Raw genomic sequence first — 21,639 nt, forward strand, 5'->3', positions numbered from 1 at the left:
TGAACTCAAGTGATCTACCGTACCCGGCCCCCAATGTTAGTTTTTAAATAAACGACTATGTTTAATTCACATGCTAACAGGCACCTAGAGAATACTTTCAAGTAAAAAGATTAATGAACCCACTTCGCATTGAGTTAGCTGGTTGTTTTCTGCCAACCAGGTGTCCCTGCCTGGTCCACAGTTGACCAAGGATCCCTGCATCTGCCTCTAGCAACACCCAACACTGTATGAAGGGCTGAGGGGGTCTGACAGTTCACGTCACTGACATCCTCTCACTGGTATTTCGAATGCCAAGCCAGCCCTCAAATCAAGTTCACTGGCCTCGACTGAGCTGCCAAGTATTTCATACATGGGGAGGGGGGTTGGGGGGGGGGAGGGTAGGGGGATCACACAGGTGCCAGGCAATGAGTAAGATTATCCCAGCAACTTCTCCATGCAGAGAGAAATGTCTGCAGCTGCAACACTATTTCTACTCCAGCCTTCTAGACTCCATGTAGTTTGCCTTTGTTTGAATGTTTCTATTTATCTGAAATAACCAGAAATCATTTTTATTATTATATATTACTCCAGTTTATTAAATAAATGAAACAAGGCTTATGCCACATATTCCAACAATGTTTAAATAAAGAGCTTGAAATATAAAGGCTTATGAAAACTTCATACTCTTTATATAATGCATACTATTTCTAGCACATGAATAAATATAAAGGACAGGAGCCACTTTTTATATTATGAATCCACAACATTAAGCATCAATGATTACACAAATCCATAAGCACACAAACAAAAAAACCCATTGGTTATAAAAACTAGAATTCCTTTTGGCATATTTAAGAAAACCCAAAGGTGGGGAGGTACTTATAGCCAGAACCCTGACAACGAGGGGACCAAGTCTCCCAATTCCTTAAGTTGTTTCTTGGTTAGAAGCTTCAACAATTGCATTAACTCTTTCAAAAAAACAGAAAAAGCAGGTTAAGATCCTGTTCAATAAGGCACTTAATAAGTCTACACTGAAGAAATACTATGCTTTTATCTTAAATCGTGCTTAAGTTTTACCATGAGGTTTGAATTTCTTTCCACCTTGGTAGGAACATGTATGTAATTTGAATAAACTGGTAATAATACTGTCTGACATTCGCTCTTTACATGGTCATTAAAATGAATTTGCTTCTACTGTTTTAAAAATTGTATGCATATTTGAAAAAGTAAAATTTTTCTACATTAAAAAAAGAGCATTTCAAGAAAAGCAATCTTTAAACTCAAAGAACTCAAAAGTGAAAGCCTCTCTATAGAAAGTCTTTATAAAATCAATGGAATGTTTTGGAAAGAAGAAAAAATCCTAAGGTGTAGTTTAGAACAAGCAGCAAGGCCTGAATGAGCTCTGGGGTCCTCTGCTGCCCTCTAGGGTTGCCCAGGGAGAGCTGGACTTTCATCTGAGTCTCAGCAATTAACAGGTAACCCTACCCCACTGCACCCCGCCCCCGCCCCCACCTTCTGTTATCCTCTCTTTTTGATGACTTTGTCTTAGCTCTCACTTTTGGAAATAATATTCAAAGGGACCATTCATGCATAAGGAAGGCAAGGGAAAAATGCCTGCGAGGAAAAATTATCTCATCCTCCAAAAAAACCTGCAGTCCTTCTATTCAGTCTCAACAAAGAGACTGGCCAGACTGGGAATTTGGCCGCACTACTGTGGAAGGAGAATGCCCTGGAGCCCCAGCTAACATGTATTTAATGTTGTTCTCAAAGGGGGAACTGAAGAGACCCAAATAAATATGTTCCCTGTCCTGTGGCTGCCTCCCAGAAGTGGAAGTTCTTGGGGTTCTCACAGTCATCTTTTATTTTGAAAAGACTAAGATGAAGACAAGAAGGAAGAGGGCTCTTTCTCTGAAGCAGGTTAGAGTAAAGAATAAGAAAATAGAAAAAGAAAAAAAGAAGAGGGAGAATGACTTATTGTGTCTACAGAAGGAAAGAAAAAGGGAAAATATTACATACCACCTATCAGAAACTAGCTAAATAGATGCACTAAAGAAATCATTTTTAAAATTTCAAGCAGGTATTTTCCATCCAAACTAAACAGAAAGTCCAAGACAGGCACAACATAAACTAAAGTAAAAACTGGAAACCTGGAAAAATCAACTCTTTGATTCACTACCAACATTTTGCTAAGGAAAATGTACTAAAGCCTGAACTTATACAGTGTTCTTTCTTCAACAAGACCTTAACAAAGGGCTTCATTCACAATTACCATGAGAAGCCCATGAGAACATGCCCCTCTTCTACATAGACTGTTTAGAGCTGTTCCACAGCATGATGTAAACACATTTACCTTTCCAGTCAAGTAGCAGCAGCTACTATTTGTTCTTCATTTGACCCTCTACATCAATAGACGTTATTATCCCCATTTTACTCATTGAGAAATACATATGCTTTGCTAAAAATCATAAAGCTAATTACTAACATGACCTAAGACAGAACCTAAGCTGCTTGAAAACACCCCCCACCAATACAGACCTTGCAACCTTCAAAGCCAACACATAACACCACCACGAATTTAGAGATTATTACTTTGTAACAATTTCTCACAAATGTCAAGTCTTCAAAGCTTAAAATCACTTATTATAAGTGGAAGATCCTGCCAAAATAGGAAATGATAAAGCAGTGTGATATTCCTAGGATCCATTTCCTGCACCGTTTATACCTGGGGTTGAACAGTCCAGGTCTCCATACATGAAATTTCTTCAGTTGACAAGGAGCAAAATCTCCCAGAAATTCAGAAACCATAACACCTTCTCGGAGGCTCCATTCCATGGTTCCAGTGAGCTTTTCTAGAGCAGTCTGATTCTCAGTCATGAGCTGAGATGCATCAGGAGCTACTCTCCCTGAATAAAACAATACATCGCTCCTGATTTTCTTGCAAGTTTTCTTTAGCAAGAAACATGCATTTCACATATTATCTTTGATGTTGAAGGGCACTTCAGTGGTAAAGACTAGTGTTTGGATGTTAGTTTATGCCATTAAACGTTTGATGAAGAGCATCCAATGCCAACACACAGCAATCTCAACTAACCCAGTCTTCATCTGTTGCTCACATCCCAGAATCTGTGATGAGCCAAGCAGTGAGAAGCAGAGTGAAACACAGGAAGCTTTGCTGTTTCAGAAGTTACCATTTTCAGAAAGATGTCTCATGCAGCCTTGGCTTGTCACAAATCCAATTTCTTCAACTGCTCGTATGTCACAAAGAACTGTGGTTATGGGTTAAGGATGACACAGAAAATGCCATCTTCACAACTCCAGTGCATAACAACAGACTTACAAATGGCACACTTAATAACAAATAGGTACAGGCAGACCCACGCTATGGACACGATTAAATAAAAGGGGTTCCACCCTTAACCACATCAAACTATCTTCCAAGGTCAGCTTGGAGCAGAAAGATCACAGCTGAGATATGTAAATCCCCTGGTATCAGCCTCTTCTGAGATGGCATCTACGCTGATAAGCTTTTGTGGCTTTGCTGTGGTGGAAAAACTTTCCAGCACTGTAAGCTTTTGAGAGAGAGAGAGAGAGAGAGAGTTAGCAAGCCCTGGGAAGCTCTCCTCAAAGGCTTCCACTATGCATCCTTCCTTGGGAGGCAGGAGCTGATGAAGAGCAACAAGAGGACAGCAAAAGCCAGCATTCCTGCTTCATCACTCTGCCCTTCAGTGTCTAATTAACTGCCTCACGGGCGCGGTGGCTCACGCCTGTAATCCCAGCACTTTGGGAGGCCAAGGGGCAGGTCACTTGAGGTCAGGAGTTTGAGACCAGCCTGGCTGACATGGTGAAACCCCATCTCTACTAAAAACACAAAAATTAGCCAGGCGTGGTTTTATGTGCCTGTAATCCCAACTACTCAGGAGGCCAAGGCAAGAGAATTGCTAGAACCCAGGAGGCGGAGGTGGCAGTGACCCGAGATCACGCCACTGTACTCCAGCCTGGGCGACAGAGTAAAGACTCAGTCTCAAAAACAAAAAAAAAGTTAACTGCCTTTCCTTTCCTGCCTCCCACTGTGGCACATAGGAAGCGTGCTGGCCTGCCAAACAATTCCGGAGCTAATTCCTGTTTATCTTCAGGCACTTTCTAAGATAAGCATTCTAAGACACTGTTGCCAACCACATCCTTCCCAAGGTGGCTAGGGCTATAAAGCCAATCCTCCTCTCTCTCTCTCTGAAATCGTAAATACCCTCAGCTTCTAGAACAGAGTCTAACTAAACCTTTTTAGTAGTATCACTACTTTTGAATAATACCACCATCAAAGCAAGATTCAGTGTCTAGCACGGAGACTTTACACTTCCTAAAAAAGAAACTAAGTAGTGACTTCTTAGCATCAGAGGAACTCAAAATAATCAGAACCTACTTCTAAATTATAATTAATAACATGAGAGTTTATACAAATAGTATTCTTTAGCTGTATCTTTTTTCAGATCTATTGCAACAGAAAAGGATACAATGATATTCCAAGGACCAAGTCTCAACCAATTTGGCCAAAAGCCTTTATAGAGAGCAAAAAACCCTTCATTCTTCCATGTCTGTTAAAAGAAGAAAAAAAAGTTAACTTCCAACTTTCTAATTATGCCAAATGCATTAATAATTAGTGGCCAGGCCAGGCGCGGTGGCTCACGCCTTTAATCCCAGCACTTTGGGAGGCCGAGGCGGGTGGATCACCAGGTCAGGAGATCAAGACCATCCTGGCTAATGCAGTGAAACCCTGTCTCTACTAAAAATACAAAAAAAAAATTAGCCGGGCATGGTGGCAGGCGCCTGTAGTCCCAGCTACTCGGGAGGCTGAGGCAGGAGAATGGCATGAACCCGGGAGGCGGAGCTTGCAGTGAGCCAAGATCACGCCACTGCACTCCAGCCTGGGCGACAAAGCGAGACTCCATCTCAAAAAATAATAATAATAATTAGTGGCCAGACTGATTTATTTTTCTTAAAAATAAAATCCTGTTTGGAAGGACTGCCTAAGAAATCTTTGCTCTTTAGAGGCTTGTGTGGGTGGAAGACTAAGGCTCCATGCCCAACAACCCCACACGAAGGATTGAATGAACTCCACACAAAGGAGATAAACACTGTTGAGTGAGGAAAAAATTAGATTTAATTCCAATTACGGTCTGTTGCTTCCGTGCCATGTGGGCTCCTGAACAGGTCACAAATAAAGAAGCAATAGTGGTAGAGATATCATTCAGAGTACCACTATTTCCCAAGATGTCAGGTGGATGAATACGATAAGTGTCTTTGCTTCATTAAGGCAACACCTGAAGAATAAAATGTGCTAGTGTCATGTTGGAAAACAGGAACCACAAAAGTGGCCCCTGTAGCCATAAAAAAGAAATCACGTTCTTTGCAGCAACATGGATGGAGCTGGAGGCCATTATCCTGAGCAAACTAACGCAGAAACAGAAGATCAAAAACCACATGTTCTCATTTTTAAGTGGGAGCTAAACAATGGGTACACACGGACATAAAGATAGAAGTAACAGACACTGGGGACTCCTAAAGGGGAGAGGCTAGAGTTGAAAAATTATCTGTCTGGTGTAATGCTCACTATTTGGGTAATGGGTACATTAGAAGCCCAATCTCCACCACTACGCATGTGCCTATGTAACACACCTGCACATGTACCCCCTGAATCTAAAATACATTAAAACTTGAAAATAAATAAATAAATATCACCTTAAAAAAAAAAAAAAAGTGACTCCTAATCCTACTACTGGCAATCTAGTGGCAGAGACAGGTGAAACCTTTCACCCACTCATAAAACAGGAGGCCCAATTATTTAAACTGAGAATTAAAGTAAGATTGATGTGTTCCTTTAACAGAGATGTCTGAATGAGGGATATTCATACTAGTTTGACCCAACAGGAAGAAAGTACATTTTGGAAGGAGACCCAGTTCTTTTATAATCACAGGAAATATTTCCTCACCTTTCACAGCAGATGGAGGTATAAAGAAAACAACATTGTATTTATAAAAGCTAAGCACAGTGTGGCAAAAATGGTCTCACACATGTACATCTCTGGGCTTTAAAGCATCATTCATCTTAGTTTTAGTAGCTTTCATAATTTAGTTACTTCTTAGATCAAAAAAATATATAATTCACAACCCTGCAGAGACAGACATCTGCTCTTACCTGTAACAAGCAATCCAGGGTTCCTGTGTAGCCAGAACATCTGCCATCTCGAAGCACTCTCTGATTCATCATACGTGTCCTCACAACATCAACAGGGTTTGAGGCCAGGGCCCCTGCCAGACCACAGGTGAAGCTTGAGCTATAAAGACACCATTGGAAAAAAAAAAAAAAGTTAACCATCACTGAGCTACAACCACCATCAAAGGCAGAAAACAGCTTCTGCCCAAACTATGGGGTTTTCTTGTTTGTGGTTTTCGTGTTTTGTTTTGTTTTGTTTTGTTTTTGAGACGAAGTCTTGCTCTGTTGCCCAGGCTGGAGTGCAATGGTGTGACCTTGGCTCACTGCAACCTCTGCCTCCCAAGTTCAAGCGATTCTCCTGCCTCAGCCTCCCAAGTAGCTGGGATTTCAGGTGTACTCTACCACATCCAGCTAATTTTTTTTGTATTTTTATTAGAGACGGGGTTTCGCCATGTTGGCCAGGCTGATCTCAGACTCTTGACCTCAAGTGATCTGCCCACCTCGGCCTCCCAAAGTGCTGGGATTACAGGCATGAGCCACCATGCCCAGCCCCAAAACTATGTTGAACTAACATGTATCAACATGAAACATGTCAAGAAGAGCCATATCTAGAGAGCTTGATAAACTGCTTACATATTAGCACCGATTATACTAGCTGATAAATCCCAGCGACAGCTAAGAATACCTGACATTCTAGAATGTCAAAGGATCATAAAACATAAAGGAAATCCTCCAAGGATGATCTTTTCCATCTATTTACCTGTAAGTGGACATCAGAGTAATTCTAGCCATATCATAATTATATCATTTCCTAGATATCAAAGAAAAAGATCTCCTTACTATAATGCCCCGCAAAGGTCTTAGGTTCTGCTATATTTTCAGTCCCACAAGACTACCACAGACCATACTTTATATCAATTAACCCAGAGCAAAGTTTCTCAACCTCAGCACTAGCTATATCCCTGGCCTGGCCCCACTAGATGTCAGTAGTATTCCCCCCTGGTTGTGACAATCAGAACAGTCTCCACACATTGCCCACCAATGGATTATGTATGATTATATATATATATATATATACACACACACACACACACACACACACACACACATATGAATGATAATATATATGTATGATATATCCATACAATGTGATAATCTGCAGCTATTAAAAATAAATGAAGGCCAGGCCGGCAATGGCTGACACCTGTAATCCCAGCACTTTGGGAGGCTGAGGCGGGTGGATCACTTAAGTCTAGGAGTTCAAGACCAGCCTGGGTGACATGGCAAAACCTCAGCTCTACAAAAAATACAAAAATTAACCGGGTGTGGTGGCATGCGCCGGCAGTCCCAGCTACTTGGAAGGCTGAGGCAGGAGGATCACTTGAGCCCAGGAGGTAGAGGTTGCAGTGAGCCGAGATCACACCACTGCACTCCAGCCTGGGTAACAGTGAGACCCCGTCTCACATAAATAAATAAATAAAGTCCGTAAGTACTGACACGAAGTCTGTAAGCACTCAAAGATATTTGGAATATGTTGTTAAATCGCATTTTATTTTAGAGACAGGGTCTTTCTCTGTTGCCCAGGCTAGGGTTCCGTCGCCCAGTCAAGGCTCACTGCAGCCTCACCTTCCTGAGCTCAGGCAATCCTCCTGCCTCAGTCTCCCATGTTGCTGGGACCATAGCCATGCACCACCATGCCCAGCTAATTTTTTAATTTTTTGTAGAAATGGGGCCTCATTTTGTTGCCCAAGCTGGTCTTGAATTCCTAGGCTCAAGTGATCCTCCTGCCTCGGCCTTCCAAAGTCCTAAGATTACAGGCGTGAACTACTGTGCCCAGCCTGTTGTTACATTCTAAAAAGCAAATAAAAGAATGTAAAACATGATCTTATTTGTGTAATAAAGTTCATATAATACACTTTTGTAGACATATTTGCATACACGTAGAAAACGCCTGGAAGATACATATCAAACTGTTAACAACAGCTGCCTATGTAGAGGAATAAGGACTTCTACCTGGTCCTGCTTCACTTCTGCATTGCAACTTTTCAAATATAAGAATATAATACTTTTATAATAAACTTTCTTTAGAATTTCTATAATTTTTTAAAAAAAGCCATGAACATACAGGAAGTGGGTATACACAGTGTCTCCCATCAGGCCTGAGAGAATAAGATGCTTCTTGGTGATGTCATAGACCGGCAGCTCCACACCAACAACAATAGCAGCCCTCTGCGCAGTAAGGGACACACCCTGGGTAAAAATATTAACAATAAAAATGATTCTGATATGCCTCTGTAGAACAAGCCTTGCAAATGTGCAAAGGTTCTAATCCATAAACTATGATCAAGGTTTATCTTTTCCTCTGGGGAGGCAGAAATGTAGAGTGACAGAGCGGAAAAGATCACAGAGCAAGAACTCAAAAACTCTGAAGTCTAATTCTGATGCTGGCATTAACTATATGACCTTGGGCCAGACTTTGGCCAGGACAAGTCACCTCTCAGAGCCTCCAGTTTCCTTCTATGAACTGAGAGATCACACTGGATGATCTTTAGGGGCTATTCTATGAACTGACAAGTCATTAGAATACTAGGAAATAACACTCTACACCACATGCTTGCCTAATAACACAGACTTCAGTTACAAGCCATGAAATTGTATGGATCAAAACACCCAATGGAACTGTAACCTAAAATCCTTCTCCATAAGAATTTAAAAAAAAAAAAAGAGCAAAAGACCAAACAACAACAAAAAAAGTGCTTATCCTTCACACAATATCTTATACATAAATTATTCAAAAGCAACTTTAAAAATCATGACATAGGCCAGGCGCAATGCCTCACAACTGTAATCCCGGCACTTTGGGAGGCCGAGGCAGGCAGATCACCTGAGGTCAGGAGTTCGAGACCAGCCTGACCAACATGGTGAAACCCCATCTCTACTAAAAATACAAAAATTAGCGGGGTGTGGTGGCGCACGCCTGTAATCCCAGTTACTCAGGAGGCTGAGGCAGGAGAATCACTTGAACTCAGGAGGTGGAGGTTGCAGTGAGCCAAGATCGTGCCATTGCACTCCAGCCTGAGCAACAGGGCAAGACTCCATCTCAAAAAAAAAAAAAAAAAAAAAAATCATGACATATTCCTTATATTCCCATTTTATAGATAGGGAAATAAAGAAAGATATTTTCATGGGCAGAAGATGCCACTCCTCTTCCCTTACTCCATTACGACACTTGGATTAAAATTAAGTGATAGAACAAGTAAATTCAAAAAAGGAAAAAAGAACTAAATAAATCAGTTCGATCCATCCTTCTGGCTTACCTTCCACAGTCCTCTTGTCCCCTCTTGCTGGTAAATGTTCATGAAGTTGCCTATCATTCCTCCTTGAATGGTGTTGCTTTGCGCTTGCATCCGAATCTAGAGATTATTTTAAAGACCAACATCAGAAAGAAACTACCACAATCCCACCCACAACCAATGTATACCTCTGACAGTCAGTCCGTCAGTCAGTTGCTTAATAACCATTAGCAAGGAAAAAACTGTCATATAAATACTGCTATGATGCTACCTTAAAATGACTAAAACGTATAAAAATTTATTCTTAGGAACTCTGAGATCTCCAAAAAGCATCTAAGAGAGTCCAGAGTCCTACGTACAGCAGTTCATTAAATGTCAAAAGGAGAAACTGATTTTTGTGAAAAAAGTCTTTCTAGGATAGAAAACAGCATACTTCCCTACTACTATATAGGTGAGAGAAAAGTTAATTTCAAAGGTTTAATCTAATTAATGAGTTATCCAGTGTACCTGGCAGCACGAAGCACAGGCAAGCATAGTTCTTAAATTAGCTGCTCCAAGCCACTACAGTCTCCAGCCAGCTGAACCAAAAGGTATGCAGGCGAGCTAGCCAAGTGACAGCCACATGATACCTGTTACACTCTGTTACACTTTAATTAGTGGAATCCACATGACCAAGATTCCAACATAAAAAGAATGTTTGATGTAGCTCTTTGCATTTTTAAGAATGAAGAAAGATTTTTTACTACAAAATGTGTACCTTATTTTTGTTTAGGGAGCAAATACGTTACCACTAACTTCTAAAAGAACTGTTATTGCCACACGAACGTGGGAAAATAAACCAAGATACAGGAACTGCCTTCCCATAAGGCCTAAGATATAATTAAGAAATTAATGAGAGTACGAATATTTTTCTCTAGCTCTCTTACCCCAACACTGGTAAACTTATGGCAAAGGTACCTTGTATTTCTTCCTTACCCACGAGGTCCCTTTGCTACAATGCATATATAACTGTAGTGTACCCAGAATACTGCAGATGGCTGTAATGCTTGTCAGAATCCCCTATTAGATTGAAGGCTCTCTGAGGGCAGGGTCCTTGTCTTACTCATATTTGGATTCTAACCATGGCGTATACCAACTGGTACAAGATAGAAGCATAGAATACTAGTTAAATAGTGGGGCAGAAAAAGAAAAGAGGGGAAGTAGGAAAGGAATACTCTGTGGGGTTCAAAAAGTAAGTCATTCCTAATTTTTATTTTATTTAATTAGTTGCTTCCAAAAAAGGATTTAAAGATGCTCTATCCCTAGTATTTTCAATAAGGTCTCCTAATGTGTTATGTAATCTAATTGTAGTAATTAAATTTTTTCATCTGTATTTCCTGAAATAAAATTTAACAAAGAAGATGCAGGCCAGGCACGGTGGCTCACACCTGTAATCCCAGCACTTTGGGAGGCCAAGGCGGGTGGATCATGAGGTCAGGAGTTCAAGACCAGCCTGGCCAAGATGGTGAAACCCCATCTCTACTAAAAATACAAAAATTAGCTAGGCACGGTGGCAGGTGCCTGTAATCCCAGCTACTCAGGAGGCTAAGGCAGGAGAATCGCTTGAACCCAGCAGGGTGGAGGTTGCAGTGAGTTGACATCGTGCCACTGCACTCCAGCCTGGGCGACAGAGTGAGACTCCATCTCAAAAAAAAAAAAAAAAAAGATGGATTCAAAAATAGTCATTAATGAGCAGCCTAGATCTGTGCAAAACTTGCAGTCCATCTATATTTAATGAACCAATAAAACAAGGAACATTTTCCGTGAAAAACGAAAATGAAATGCAGTCCAAGCCTAAATAATTTTTTCTCCTCAATCACCGAAATCTTTGTCTCCAAAATGAGCTCTGCTTTTGAGCTCATCTGTATAAGTGGAAAACCCACCTCATGGACCTTTAAAAGTTAGTCTTCATGGCACTTAAATTATAAACAGATTCACATATACACAGATGTTACATTCACAGATTCCATTACCCGAATGTTGTTCTCAATAAGAAAATGTGGAATGTGCCTATAAGATATAGATAGCACAGCTTACTTTCAAAACATCAGTTGGATTAGCAATGGTTGAAGATATGACTCCAGACAGAATTCCACATATCACATTTATCGGTAGAGTTTCATCTGTAAACAATGACACATTATTTGACTCTACATATTTAGAGTTCTTCCCGTGAGAAACTCAACTATAGGTCTAACTTATTTACACATTACTTGTTCACCTTAAGATGTAAAAACATATGCTTCAGGCCGGGCATGGTAGCTCACATCTGTAATCCCAGCACTTTGGGATACCAAGGTGGGGAGATCACTTGAGGTCAGGAGTTTGAGACCAGCCTGGCCAACATGGTGAAACCCCGTCTCTACTAAAAATACAAAAATTAGCTGGACATGGTGGCAGCTGCCTGTAATCCCAGCTACTTGGAGGCTGAGGCAGGAGAATCACTTGAACACAGAAGGTGCAGGTTGCAGTGAACCAAGACCACGCCACTGTACTCCAGCCTGGGCAACAGACCAAGACGCCATCTCAAAAAAATAAAAGTATGTTTCATGAATCAAGTAATTTTAAAAGGATTAGAAATTTCACTAATGAAGGAATTTTGCTTTGCAAAATTTATTGATATCTAAATGTGATTTTATTTTTTTTCTCTTGAGATAGGGTCTCACTCTGTTACCTAGGCTGGAGTGCAGTGGCACAATCACAGCTCACTGCAGCCTCGACCTCCTGGACTCAGGTGATCCTCCCATCTCAGCCTCCCCAGTAGCTGGGACTATAGGCGTGCACCTCCACGCCTGGCTAATATTTTGTATTTTTTGTAGAGATGGTGTTTCACCATGTTGCCGAGGCTGGTCTGGAGCTTCTGGGCTCAAGTGATCTGCCCGCCTCAGCCTCCCCAAAGCACTGGGATTACAGGCACGCGCCACCGCACCCAGCCCCAGTTCACATTTATGTATAAATTCAGACCATCATAATTAAGATGAGCTATATCTGTTAGGACAATAATTCCTATGAGATAACATGACGACTTATTTGGCACAGAAAGTTTTTAAAGCACATCGTATGTATTTAGTTTGAAATATCCTGAAGTATTTCCAAAGCATCTTAGCTCTTGTTCACCACTCTTACATAATAGTGTCTGGTACTCATCCCATTGTGAAAAGAGATGAAGATGGACAGTTCTATGGATCAAAACAAAGCCACAGAACCAAAAAGCCAGAGTATTAGCATTCAGTGTTGTTAATATTAAGAAATGTATTCACTGTTTTCCTGAAAAATAGATGACAATTCATATGATTTTAGCAAATTTTAAGTTGGATGGAATAGTAACAACACATCCCCTGGTCTAGGCATTTTGGAGATGGGGACAACTAATTAAAATGTTTGCAGAGATGGTTCCTTTTCATTATTTCTCCCCTCAATTGAGTTGATAACCAACTTGCTTTCAGCACAATTAACTAAGACTTTACACCCAGAGTTCTTGTAGCAGTAGGAAAGTCACAAATAAGCTGAAGAAAACCTGCTCCAAAACCACTTGAATAAAAAGACAGACAACCAACCTCCTGTCCACAGTGGAAAACAGATTCCCCACTCACCTTCTGGGCGTTCAATGAATAGTCGCTTCAAGCTCTGGTAAGTGCCTATCTTGATGGTGCCATAGGATGCCTGGCGTAACATCGCGGGGGCAATCCTGTTAAACCAATGTACAAAGGGACAAAAGCAATCTAAAAATCACTTAACATCGGCTAGGCAACCCACATGCAGAGTGCCATCCATAATCAAACTACATTCTCTAAAACAATTTTTTTTTTTTGAGACGGAGTTTCGCTCTGTCACCCAGGCTGGAGTGCAATGGCTTGATCTCAGCTCACTGCAACCTCTGCCTCCCGGGTTCAAGCGATTCTTCTGCCTCAGCCTCCCGAGTAGCTGGGAATACGGGCACCCGCCACCACACCTGGCTAATTTTTGTATTTTTAGTAGAGACGGGGTTTCGCCATGTTGGTCAGGCTGGTCTTGAACTCCTGACCTCAGGCCTCGGCCTCCCAAAGTGCTGGGATTACAGGCATGAGCCACTGCACCCGGCCTCTAAAACGATTTCGTAAAATTCAAAATCCAACAAAAACACAGGTGGGTCCAGATGTGCAAATTATTAGCTCACTAAGTGAAAGCCTAGCCCCTCATATTTATTCTCAATGAAAATGTAAGTGAAGAAGTTCAAGACAGAATCAGGAAAAACAAGCCTACTTTCCTCCATCCGATATGCCTGTCCTATTATCCTCTCCAAACCACAACCACGTTGTGGCATGGACACTCCCCGGGTGTCTTTCTGCATTTCCCCACTTCCTTCTTGAATTGCAATCAGGGTTTCTGCTGCCCTCACCCTCAAAACTCCCCTCTTCAAGGTGACCAACTGACATCTTTGTTGCTAAGTTAAATGAGGCTTTTCAAGTAGGATCTTGTATAAGCTCTTTGCAGTGTGTGCCACTGTTTACCCTTTGTCCTACTTGTAGCTGTCTCCTCCCTGTTCTGCTGTAGCATCACCCCCTCTGACTTCTTTTCTTTTCTCTACAGCATCCTACCTGTGTCTGCTGGGGTTCCCCAGAAATCTATCCTATGCTTCTTCTCTCCTTACTGTACATGTTCCCTGTGTGAGCTCACCTACTCCCAAGGCTTCAACTGCCATCTAAAGGCTGGCCAGGCACGGTGGCTCATGCCTGTAATCCCAGCACTTTGGGAAGCCAGGGCAGGCAGATCACTGCACCTCAGGAGTTTGAGACCAGCCTGGACAACATGGCAAAACCCCATCTCTATAAAAAATATAAAAGTAGCGCCAGACACGGTGGCTCACACCTGTAATCCCAGCACTTTGGGAGGCCGAGACGGGTGGATCACTTGAGGTCAGGAGTTTAAGACCAGCCTAGACAACATGGTAAAACCCCGTCTCTACTAAAAATACAAAAAACTGGCCGGTTGTCATAGCTGGTGCCTGTAATCCCAGCTACTCGGGAGGCTGAGGCAGGAGAATTGCTTGAACCTGGGAGGCAGAGGTTGCAGTGAGCCTGGGCAACCGAGTGAAACGCCATCTAAAAAAAAAAATTGTGTGTGTGTGTTTGTGTGTGTGCAGCTAGGTGCAGTGGCTTGTTGTGCCTATAGTTCCAGCTATGTAGGGGGCTGCAATGAGAGGATCACTTGAGCCTGGGAGGTAGAGGCTGCTGTAAGCCATTTTGTGCCACTGCACTCCAGCCTGGGTGACAAAGCAAGACCCTGTCTCAAAATAAATAAATGAAAAATAAAATAAAAGACTGATGACTCCAAATCCATGCTTCCAACATGGATCCAAAGACACATTTCCAATCTTCCAAGATTCTCCATTTAGATGTCCTGTGTATACCTTCAGATAGGGTCCCACACTGAACTACTTCTCTTCCTTCTCCAAACAGTCATCTCTCCTCTTGTGTTTCCTAAACCAGGACATGGAAGCTCCAGCTACACACTGGCAAAAACCACCAATTGAGACATTAGTCTTGGCTCCTCCTTCCCTTCTACCCGCTTCATGTATGGAAACCTCATATTAGGTCACGTAGTGCTATCAGTCCTACACCCTAAATAGTTTTCTAGCCTGTCTTCTTTTTCCTCATCCCCAAAACCAATTCAGATCCTCATCTAGTCTTCCTACATGACAGCCCTGCTTCTAGTGCTCCCTGTCTCTTAATTCTTTCTCTCCATGGCAGGCAGGTGATGTTTACAATGTAAAGCTGATCAGGTCCATCCTCCTACTTAAACACTTTCAGTGGCTTCTGTCTGCCATAGATATAGCAAACTCAAATGCTGACAGGTACCAAGAAAGCAGATGCCATGAGTGAATGATCCAGGCTGGGTCGAACTGCACACACATATACTATGTGAGTGACAGAGGTTTTGTAAACCAGAGACAGTATCCTTCACCCCAGCTACTACTGTCATAACTGAATGAATGTGGGCCTAATGTTGATTTCTCTCAAGAAGATGGAGTCCCAGATTTTTATGTGCAATTTCTCATTTTTAAAATATTGGCTCAATTAAAAAAACAAAAACCTCTGGGGATTGGTGGATCCATGGCAGGGCTGTGGGTCACCAGTTTGTGCTGTGGTGTACTGGAGAAAATCAAGATGCTTAGCGTGACATGAGGCTGTCCACGTTCTGTTCCTGCAGGTATTCTGATATAGGTCTCACTCACTATCCAGTGCCTACAGAATACTGTTCATTAAATACTGAAAGACTGGAAAGTAGTTCACTGCAACTCTTATCAACATCATATAATTTTCATTATGGCAAAAACCTCCTTAATTCAGAATATCTAAGAAAAAGAGCTATTTTCAAAGCATGAAAAACCGAACAGAATGTTTTTAAACAAACATAATTTTTTATTGTTGTCTGTCTGTACTTGAATATAGTAAAACAGTTTCACCAAAACATCTGCTGCATAATATATATACTTAGAAATTAGAGTTGAAATTAAAAGTGAAAAATCTGTCATGCTATTTGTTCTTTTCAAACACACCTCAAACTTTTTACTTGTGATCTGTGCAGTCTTGGTCTGAAGTCTATACCCATGTGAAACAGTGAACAGTGACACAGAAATGCATGAAGGCCTACTCACCCCGAGTAGAGTGCTTTCAGCCCTTCTTCTCTGCCTATCCTCACTAATGCGTGCAACATTCCTCGGTATCTAATTTCCTTAAATTTTGCATCATTCGTCTGGCCTTGAATCTGGAGCCGTGTCTTGGTTAAATCAATTGGAAATGTACCTTAAAATTTAAAAAGAAATTCACTTAATAAAAAGAAATTCCACTAAATAAAGGATACGTAGTGATATATTACTGAGGAAACATTCAGACTACAATATAAACTAAGAAAGTGATTAAGAAATGGCACTTTGCAATCTTGTTTATATTTTTAAAAATTGAGGAATCAAAAGATTAATAAAACCCAAAAAATGCATAGATATATTTTCCTTTCTTTATCTTTTTATTTATACCTCATCTTATTCTACACAGGATTTGGGTAGGCTGCATTGTTGTAGAAAGCAAATACGTGGTATGATTTACCTAAACAGGAAATCCATTGAAAAACATAAGTTACTATTCTGTATATAAATGAAGGTTAAAATGGGGTTGAATGTGAACAAAGAGGTAAAAAAAGTTCATTTTCTAAAGTGGTTTTCCACTTGGGAGAGTGTTTTATAGTCTAAAATTAATCTGGCTAGGCACAGTGGCTCATGCCTGTAATCCCAGCACTTTGGGAGGCTGAGGTGGGCGGATCACCTGAGGTTAGGAGTTCCAAACCAACCTGGCCAACATGGTGAAACCCCGTCTCTACTAAAAATACAAAAATTAGCTGGGCGTGGTGGCAGGCACCTGTAACCCCAGCTACTCAGGAGGCTGAGGCAGGAGAATTGCTTGAACCCAGGAGGCAGAGGTTGCAGTGAGCCGAGATCACGTCACCATACTCCAGACAGGGTGACAGAGTGAGACTCTGTCTCCAAAATAAAATAAAATAAATCTGATAATGCAGATAAATATGTTAAATACTGTACCTAACAAATAGTCCACCCAAATATATAAAACCCATCCTCAGACAGTAACCTTGATTCACTGTGTCAATGGGAAAGCCCACCAGCACAGAGAGCCTAAGCTGGTGAGTGGGTGGTTACCACGGCTCATCCAGCTTACCCACCTTGGCCTCAATTCTCCCCAGTCCCACAGGGGCAGTATTCTATCCTTGGACAGCAGTGACTGAGCCCTGGAAGCAATGATGTGTCCCCAACCCAGCACAGGGCATTCAACAGCTGCTCAATCAGTGTTTGCTGAATGAATGACTCCAGAGAATAAACAAACAGGATCTGATGTGGAACCCAACCGATGAGGAAGTCACAAATGGGAACTGGATAATGTGCATCATCAGAAAGTGACTAGATAACTACAGTCCATCTCATCTGGCTCAGGGAACACCCTTGAGCTTCTCAAACCTCTTTACAGCCAAACAGGTTAACAGTGGCAAAGCTGGGGGAAAGGACAAGGAAAACGGACAGACACAATCCAAAAATGATTCATAAAACTTGTGTTTGAGGCTGAGCATGGTAATAATCCCAGTACTTTGGGAGGCCAAGGGAGGTGGATCTCTTGAGCTTGGGAGTCGAGACCAGCCTGGGCAACATGGCAAAACTCCATCTCTAATAAAAATATAAGAATTAGCCGGGCGTGGTCGTGCACATCTGTAGTCTCACCTATAATCCCAGCACTCTGGGAGGCCGAGGCAAGTGGATCTCTTGAGCTTGGGAGTCGAGACCAGCCTGGGCAACATGGCAAAACTCCATCTCTAATAAAAATACAAGAATTAGCCGGGCATGGTGGTGCACATCTGTAGTCTCACCTACTTGGGAGACCCGGGTGGGAGGACCGCTTGAGCACGGGAGGCGGAGGCTGGAGTGAGCCGAGATCAGACGACTGCACTCCAGCCTCAGCAACAGAACCAGACCCTGTCTCAAAACAAAAAATTTTAAAAAACTTGTGTTTGGTCAATAGGATCAACTTTCTCTCCACTAAACTTCGAACCCTAAACTGCTAATAGCAGCCAAAATGACTATTTTGTCTTAAAAAGCATTACCAAAAGAAAACTTTCTTTTTTTTGAGACTGGGTCTCACTCTGTCACCCAGGCTGGAGAGTGCAGTGGTTCACACATGGCTCACTGCAGCCTCGACCTCCTGGACTCAAGCAATCCTCCCACCTCTGCCTCCCGAGTAGCGGGGACTACAGGCCTGTGCCACCACACCTGGCTAATTTTTTTTTTTTTAATAGAGGTGAGGTTTCACTCTGTTGCCCAGGCTGGTGTCGAACTCCTGGACTCAAGAGATTCCCCTTCCTCAGCCTACTAAAGTGCTGAGATTATAGGCGTGAGCCACCACACCCAGCTAACAGACATTTTGAATTCTGAGACAAACATTTCATCATCTCACATTCTACACTTGAACTACATTCACATCAAACACCATCACATACAGCAGGCTACGTGATCCACCACCCTCAGGTCCTTACCGCACTCAGCAGTGATGGAGGCCAGCCCCCCGTACACAAACGGCTTCCAGTTGAGGGCTGACATTCTCACACTGTCTCTTCTTTGATTTATAGAAACATTGCCTCCAGTGCTGTTTTTCCTGGACACAACAATAAGATATTATCAAGCTGTAACTTCTCACACAGGCAGTTTCTTCTCCAAACTCTTCCCCTAGGTTTTATTTGGAGAGTGCTATCACCAAAACCCCTGCAGCAATTCCCAAGGGGAGCCTCCCCTTAATAAAGCAAAGCACCCCTATTTCCTCAACCTCAAATCAACAATTTCCAATCTTACTTTATCAGTGATCTTAATTTTTACTGTGACCTCAAGAAGTAATCAGCTACTTTGATACCTTGGTATGCGTGTATGTATTCAGTGTAGTGCAGCGGAAGCTGTTCTCTGGGAAGTCTATTTTATCTTAAATCTATTCTTCATGCAATAAGTATTTGCAGCAGCCATGATGGCTCACGCCTGTAATCCCAGCATTTTGAGAGGCCAAGGTAGGAGAATTGTTTCAACCCAGGATTTCAAGACCAGCCTGGGCAACACAGTAACACCCTGTGTCAAAAAAAAAAAAAAAAAAGTATTTGCTATTCGTTCACTGCTATCTTAGTGAGTCCTTACTGGGGGTGGGGGGGTGGGGTGGGGATCACATCCCTCAGGTGCACTGCAGCAGACAAATGTTGCAAACTTGTGTCATAAGGTAAAATGACAATTACTTAAAATTACAAGCTACTTCTTTTTTTGTTTTTTTTTTAAGACAGGGTCTCACCCTGTCACAAAGACTAGAGCGTAGTGGCACAAACATGGCTCACCGTAGCCTCAACCTCCTGGGCTCATGTGATCCTCCCACCTCAGCTTCCCAACTACCTGGGACCACAGGCACACACCACCATGCCAGCCTAATTGTTTTATTTTTTGTAGACTGGTCTCTAACTCCTGGACTCAAGTAATCTTCCAGCCCTAGCCTCCCAAAGTGCTGGGAAAAGAGGTGAGAGCCACTATGCCCAGCCACCACAGGCTACTTGTAGTCTACATTCTATAAATATCGGCTCACTTCTCTTAGCCTTATTACGTTACCAGCTGTGAGGCAGTTTGGCATGAGGAAAGAGGCTGACTCTGGGGTCAGAGCCACCCCACACCCTTCCTAGAGAAGTTCCTGCTAACCTGAGTCTCGGTTTTCTTCTTCGCCAACACCATCATCACCACAGCAGGCAACACAACCAATTAGGGGGACATCCATACTTTTATTCACTAAGTTAAATAAATGTCAAGCTGTAGGCCTATTGTGGGCATTAAGCCATATATATTTTAAAGACACTCACAAATATTGCCCTCCATCTTCCTTTTCCATAATAAGACCTTGCTCACTGTGACATGTACTTATGTGCCACAGCTAAGGCCTTTCACATTCATGACATGTTCTGCAGTTGTATGTAATTAGAGCTGGTAAATGTGGCCTCACACCCCTTAACAGGAGACTCATATGACTAATACTTTTGTATATATACTATCAACTATAGCTACTGTTGGTTTAAAATAAAATTTCTAACTTTTCAGTCATTATTGGCAAGCAATATGCCAACATGTTTACTTTGCCTGTGTTTAGGAATTTCCCAAGTCTCCTTTTCCCAGGAGAGGACTACCACAAGTCACCACTGCCCAGAATATCAGTTTCCAACACTAGGACCCCCCATCGGGCACCTTGAATAAATCTATTAATCATTATTCCTTGTTTATGGATATTAACCAAATTCATAGCAGTTACAAATGAGTAAAATAGAAGGTTCTGTAAGAATGAAACATGAAAACCACTGTATGTTTTTAGGTATTTCAGTACTAAGGAGCAAGCCCTCTCCCAAAAGACTCCTCTCATCTCCCTATTATCTTTGAAAATATTTAATAACTGCACTTAAGTAATTCTTAGCCTTATTAAATTCATAACTCATATAATAGTTAAGATTGTAAGAGACTGTAAGAACCTATTAATAATAAATCCAATAATTCATTTACCACCCAGTACTAACTTCCTTAACCCATTCTTAGACCTAGCTGATTGCAGATTAAAAAGCAAAACAAAGCCAGGTGTAGTGGCACGCATCTGTAGTTCCTGAAAGGATGGCTTGAGCCTAGGAGTTCAAGACCAGCCTAGCCAACAGAGTCAGACTCCATCTCTTTTTTTTTTTTTTTTGAGACAAAGTCCCACTCTTGTCCCCCAGGCTGGAATGCAATGGCTCAATCTCAGCTCACTGCAACCTCCACCTCCCAGGTTCAAGTGATTCCCCTGCCTCAGCCTCCCAAGTAGCTGGGATCACAGGCATGGGCCACCATACCCAGCTAATTTTGTATTTTAATAGAGACAGGATTTCGCCATGTTGGCCAGGCTGGTCTTGAACTCCTGACCTCAGGTAATCCACCTGCCTTGGCCTCCCAAAGTGCTGGGATTATAGGCCTGAGCCACCGTGCCTGGCCAGCTAGTTAAGTTTTAATGAGATTTGGCTACTTTTTCCTCTGTCGGTTTTGATATTAAGTTTTCAGTTGGTTAGGTTAAAATCCAGAGGCTCTGGGTTAATACTAATATGCAAATACTTAACTAGAGCTAAAAATGTGATGGAATTGCTTCTTCATAGTTTTCAATCACATGGGATGAATCACATGCCCATTCATTCAGAAGTACCACCAATAAAACTTTTCTACAAATTAGTGTCCACTCCTGGATCAGCATCCTATAAGCAAGTACTTCTATTCAATTACGATTTTTAAAAGTTAGCTAGTCAGGAGGTAAAAACAACTTTTTGGCCTTTCTCTTCCTTTCCAAAAGGTAGGACTAGATCCCTAAGCAGTTAATATTACTGGAACTTATCAAGTTAATGTTTGCTGAGTAAAAGAATAATTTGGCTTAAATATGAACTAGAGAGCCGCAGTACATGGGCAAACATCCAAATAAGGAAAAGGGGGCGGGCGCAGTGGCTCATGTCAGTAATCCCAGCACTTTGGGAGGCCGAGGTGGGCGGATCACCTGAGGTCAG

At 41.9% G+C, this 21,639-nt stretch overlaps 1 protein-coding gene across 10 annotated transcripts in view, besides 1 other annotated feature; it reads right to left on the bottom strand.

Annotated features, from left to right (window-relative positions):
- Positions 1-545: 545 nt before the first annotated feature.
- Positions 546-21,639, bottom strand: part of SLC25A30 (solute carrier family 25 member 30) — a 40,701-nt gene continuing 19,607 nt past the window's right edge. For 3 of the 10 annotated variants that reach the window (XM_017020523.2, XM_005266321.3, XM_006719793.5), the window contains exons 2-9: positions 18,592-18,710; positions 16,157-16,304; positions 13,113-13,207; positions 11,557-11,642; positions 9,505-9,600; positions 8,313-8,437; positions 6,170-6,308; positions 546-3,548 (exon numbers count right to left, since the gene is read on the bottom strand). In XM_017020523.2, the coding sequence (XP_016876012.1) occupies positions 3,420-3,548; positions 6,170-6,308; positions 8,313-8,437; positions 9,505-9,600; positions 11,557-11,642; positions 13,113-13,207; positions 16,157-16,304; positions 18,592-18,655 (882 nt within the window). In that variant the 5' untranslated portion in view covers positions 18,656-18,710 and the 3' untranslated portion in view covers positions 546-3,419. Of the gene's footprint in view, positions 3,549-4,487; positions 4,569-5,116; positions 5,295-6,169; positions 6,309-8,312; positions 8,438-9,504; positions 9,601-11,556; positions 11,643-13,112; positions 13,208-16,156; positions 16,305-18,591; positions 18,711-18,962; positions 19,169-21,639 lie in introns of those variants that run through there. The other 7 variants (NM_001010875.4, XM_047430241.1, XM_017020524.3 and 4 more) reach the window with 6 other exon arrangements.
- Positions 19,924-20,218: a silencer, noted in NCBI's record as "tiled region #15232; HepG2 Repressive non-DNase unmatched - State 19:H4K20". NCBI's record gives its function as "represses a minimal TATA promoter and a strong SV40 promoter by Sharpr-MPRA in HepG2 cells {active_cell/tissue: HepG2}" and the evidence as "EXISTENCE:reporter gene assay evidence [ECO:0000049][PMID:27701403]".

Source organism: Homo sapiens, chromosome 13 (assembly GCF_000001405.40).
Source record: "Homo sapiens chromosome 13, GRCh38.p14 Primary Assembly".
Lineage (NCBI taxonomy): Eukaryota > Metazoa > Chordata > Mammalia > Primates > Hominidae > Homo > Homo sapiens.